Here is a 4,732-nt window from a genome sequence, read left to right on the forward strand (position 1 = left end):
ATGTATTACCTTTGTCTTTAACATAATTTATTTAACTGTAAACTTGATATAATTTAATTTTTAATAATGTCTGTGTTTAACAACTGGTTCACAGAAGTCCTGAGAATTTAACAGTTGGCTCTTGCAAGCTGGTAAAACCAGCTCCAGGACAACCCTGGTTCCAAGGCCTCACTTCAGGATGCAGGTTTGCACAATCAGCACTGCTAATTTCTGTCTATGTGACTTTGGGCAACTTATTTAGTTTAACATGAGAACTATCTCTGAGCTAATGCTCACACAGAGCTTACTATAAGTCAGATGTTCTTCAAAGCTCTTTATTTGATCTTTGCAAGATCCCCATGAGGTAGACACTGTTATTTTACAGTGTTGTTTTGTTTACAGATGGGGGGGTGGGGGCTGAGACACAGGAAGACCATGTGACTTGTGCAAAAGCCCACAGCTGGGAAGTGGCAGGACTGGGACTTGAACCCAGGTCATCTGGATTTACTGGCTGTGATCCTGACCACTGCTCCACACTCCCTCTCTGTTATGCTGAGCCAAGCTTCTGTCTCTGCCTATAAAATGTAGATGTTATTATGTATCTCCTGGGGCGGTCATGAGGATATAAAGATTAAGTGAGTTGATGTAAAGGACCATTGGCGTGCCCCTTGGCACATGGAAACCCCACATAAATGGCAGCCACTTTAAGCATGCTTGGTACAGGGCTGTGGAAATTCCTTCTGGGCAGGAATCCCCGTGGGTGAGGGTGGCTGTTCTGTCTGAGCAAAGGGGAAAGGCTGGCAACGTATTATCAGCTGGCTCTGAAGAGCACTGATGAATCATCAGCTGTCATTCTATTATTATCCAGGCTTCAGGCACCCAACCTCTTATCTGTACTTGCTCTGCAAAAATATGTTCTCCCTCCACAGAGAAACTTTGGTGCACAGCGCTGGTGGATTCATGGAATAAAGCCACAGTATGGAGCTTCCAAAAGTTTCAAAATCCTCCCATCCAATGCACAGAGCGGTATGCAACTGAAGGCTTATTCCTCCACTGAGTAACTGTCTCTTGCTGTGTGGAAGACGGTGGCTTGGTTGCAGAAAGCCTAAAGATGTCTCCCAACTGCCCCTTCGAAACTTGGGCTGCAAATTCTGTTTGCCCCTTTGATTTCTTCACCCCATCTGTGTCCTGGGAGGCTGGGTCAAAATCACGGCTCTATTGTCTTCTATCTTCCTGCTGGGTTTTGCCTGTGGGAAATTAGGAGAGCAGGGCGGGAGGGAAAAGAGAGATCAAGGTACTTATTCCCTGGCTCCCTCCATGCCGGCCCTACATGGACTTAGCAGTGGCTGCTTTTCTCTATGAAAGGCTGCAGCTTCTTCCAGGGAGTCCTCTCTTAAACTCTCATCCTTACCAGGTTCTGGACCTTCTATGAAACCCTGTCCCTTAGGTCTCAAAGTGGTAGTAATTTTCCCCCTTGCTAGCCTCGGGGTTCTCTGCCATCCCTGTCAATTCCCTAAACCCAGTCCCACAGCGTTGTAATGACCCCTTCATTCCACCCTCTCTCACCCATTTTGACTGTGCATTTATTTCCTGCTGGGACATAAAAGCCTTCTCTGAACCTCAGTTTACCCATCCATGAAATGAGTCCTTCTCCTTCCCAGTCCATCTTGCAGAGGTTGCCTCAAGGGCAAAGCAAAACCTGGATGGGAAAACTCTCTGGGGAAAACAGAAGTTCAAAGTGCCACCCAGGAGCCAGGCATTCGTGTTATTAATAAAAGCCAGATAGGACTCTTCCATCTGCCTGTGCCTGCCTCCTCAGAATCCCCCTCCCCTTCACGCCCCCTGACCTCCTCTCCATGTCTCCGCCTTGACATCCTCCTCCCCTGGCTGGTGTTCCCACTAAAGCCATCTTCCCTTCCCCCGCTCATCCTGCACCTCCATGTCTGTGGAGGGATGAAGTGCCCGGCTAATATAAGCGTGTTTACATTAAAATATAAGGACAATTACACCAGCCGATCTAATAGTCGGCTCTGTATATGTTACCAAGTACTTAGGGCTCTCTTTTGGAAAGCCATTATGCCCATGTGATTCCCCTCAAAGCCTTTCTTGAGGATTTTGTTTTGACAGGAGGGCATTAAGGGGTTGAAACTGATAGCATAAGCACACCACTTACACACTTTGATCAAATCGGTCCATAATTCTCCTGCAGAAAGTCTTGTATATATTAGGAAGGAAATTAATTTTATTGCTGCTGCGGCTTTGCTGGTTAATGGCCCAGCAAGTCAGCCGGCCCCAGAAGGCGAGCCGTGGGAGGTGGGCTCACCGCTATCCTCCCAGGCCCAAGGTCCACGGCCACAGGTGAGTACGATCCAGAGGGCACAAGGCAGGAGAGCCCCGGATGCCGCAGGCTTCGGGGTGTAGGCAGCTGCAACCTGCTCCCTCTGAGCTGACCTCTCACCAGAGTTGTCACAGCTGAAATGCATATGGGGCGCTTACTGCATAATGTGGATTTGGTCCAAGCACACAGCACATGTCACAAGCTATCAGCATTGGAGGGGAATTCAAACACATACCATAATTTGAAAGACTTTGAGGGTGAAATGGTATCGTCCATTTATATTTGTACTGTTAGGAAACAGAGCTGGGAGAAGAAGATAATTTAAATAGCAAGGGTGTTGATCTGCCTATCATTTCATTTAATGAGCACGTACCCCAAAGTTGGTATGAGATACCAGATGGGAACAGGATCTCCTGGCTCTCTCTGGTCCCTGTGTGCTAAGATTGAGCCTAGAGATTAAGATGATAGTGTTTTGTACAGAATGCCCCCAAATGTCAGGCAGCCATTTCATCCGGCCCCTTCAAATGAACGAATACCAAACTGTTGCTATACTCAAGGGACAATGGTGCTTAAAGGAGTATTTTGTGCATGTATGGTTTTTGCCTTTCTCACTGATTTTGGAACTTAACTTCCCCACAAAAGGTAACTCCTTGTACTTCAAAAAAAAAAAAAAAAATTCAAGTAAAATTTTAAAACCACACATATCTATGAAAACCATCATCAATGTCATTATCGGGTGAAAGGTGAGGAGTATGGGAAGGAATAGATATGACAATACAGATGCTGGTAATTGCTGAAGCTGGCAGAAGGTACAGGGAGAGGAATACACTACACTATTCTGTTTACTTTGTTTATGTTTGAAATTTTTTATAATAAAAATTAAAGATCTTAAGGCTGGTCTTCTAATGACCTCATTTCTATTATCTTGAATTCTAGAATGCTTACTGGAGTGGGAGAGAGAAGGGTCGAATAGAGGTCTCACAAGAGGAATTGAGTTTAACCCCACAGGACAGGTTGTATGTGAGAATGTCATTCATCACACGTGTTTTGGGGTTTTTTGTGTATTTTTTTCTGGTATAAAAAAGAGATGGAGGACTTTGGGGCATAGAGGGGCAAAGGCACGAATTTTGCAGTCAGGTGACCATGTTCTGATCTCAGTTCTGTCACCGTGGGACCTTAAGCAAGACACTCTTTGAGTGTCAGTTTCTTCATCTGCAAGATAGGGATAATACTTACTTGACAGGATTACATGATCACAGCACAGGTAAAGTGCCTGGTACAATCTAGCCCTCAGTAAATAGTGGCTGGGGTCTGCATGTGTAAATCTTTGCCTCTCAGCAGGAACTCTTTTTTCTAATGATATCACTCTGGTTTTCCTCTGGGAAACTGCCCTTCCCTCTACTTCCAGTCCATGCGCTTTAGGTGCTGTGACTCCACCCCAAGCTACAACGGGCATGTAACTCAGGATGGCCAATCACACCTCCTTCCTGCCTTAGGGTGTGGTTTAGGTGCTGTGACTCCACCCCCAGCTACTAATGGGCATGTGGCTCAGGGTGGCCAATCACAGCTCCTTCCTGCCTTACGTTGGTTTAGGTGCCGTGACTCCACTCCCAGCTACAATGGGCATGTGACTCAGGATGGCCAATCACAGATGCTTCCTGACTTAGGTTAGTTTAGGTGCTGTGACTCCACCCCCAGCTACTATGGACATGTGACTCAGGATGGCCAATCACAGCTCCTTCCTGGCTTAGGGTGGTTTAGGTGCCATGAGTCCACCCCCAGCTACAATGGGCGTGCGACTCAGGATGGGCAATCACAGCTCCTTCCTGCCTTAGGTTAGTTTAAGTGCTGTGACTCCACCCCCAGCTACAATGGGCATGTGACTCAGGGTGACCAATCACAGCTCCTCCCTGCCTTAGGGAGTCACAGATGTCATGTGGCCACATTAGAACCAATAAGACAGATGTGTCATAGACTTTCACTGGCTTTTTTGATGGAGAAGCATGCTCTCTTATTGGAGATGAGAATGTAAGCCTGGATTTGCGAGCAGCCACTACTTTGCGAAAAGCAGGACTGAGGTAGACTAAATGTAGGCAGAAAGAAAATAACACCCACTCCTGAAAGAAAGTGAAAAAAAGACCCAGTCCCTGGATCAAGCCATTACTAAACCTATTGCATTTAGCCAAGCAACTGCCTTTGGGGCTTAAGCTCCTGTTAGGTTTTCTGTCACTTGCGAGGGAAAATTCTGACTACTACAATTATTATTGCCATTATTATTACTATCACTTGTCAGTTACAGTAGCCTATTTTTGTTCCTATTATATGAAACTTCCTTCTGAGATGGTGCCCTTTGGGATCTGTTATTCTAATGTCATATTATCCACCCAGCTTTGTAGTTTGTATCATTTGTGGTAT

At 45.9% G+C, this 4,732-nt stretch overlaps 1 long non-coding RNA gene across 1 annotated transcript, besides 2 other annotated features; it reads right to left on the reverse strand.

The window, feature by feature from the left end:
• Nucleotides 529-739: a silencer, noted in NCBI's record as "fragment chr12:114676508-114676718 (GRCh37/hg19 assembly coordinates)". NCBI's record gives its function as "represses an EF-1alpha promoter that drives an FKBP-Casp9 reporter gene in an ReSE screen in K562 erythroleukemia cells {active_cell/tissue: K562}" and the evidence as "EXISTENCE:reporter gene assay evidence [ECO:0000049][PMID:32094911]".
• On the reverse strand, nt 797-3,596 carry LINC02459 (long intergenic non-protein coding RNA 2459). Its single transcript, NR_146536.1, has 2 exons — nt 3,554-3,596; nt 797-1,226 (listed from the first exon to the last, which is right to left on the reverse strand). It is a non-coding gene; the product is annotated as a long intergenic non-protein coding RNA 2459 (long non-coding RNA).
• Nucleotides 3,830-4,124: an enhancer, noted in NCBI's record as "tiled region #11920; HepG2 Activating non-DNase unmatched - State 24:Quies, and K562 Activating DNase matched - State 3:PromF". NCBI's record gives its function as "activates a minimal TATA promoter and a strong SV40 promoter by Sharpr-MPRA in HepG2 and K562 cells {active_cell/tissue: HepG2 | K562}" and the evidence as "EXISTENCE:reporter gene assay evidence [ECO:0000049][PMID:27701403]".

This window comes from Homo sapiens, chromosome 12 (assembly GCF_000001405.40).
Source record: "Homo sapiens chromosome 12, GRCh38.p14 Primary Assembly".
In the NCBI taxonomy this organism is placed as follows: domain Eukaryota; kingdom Metazoa; phylum Chordata; class Mammalia; order Primates; family Hominidae; genus Homo; species Homo sapiens.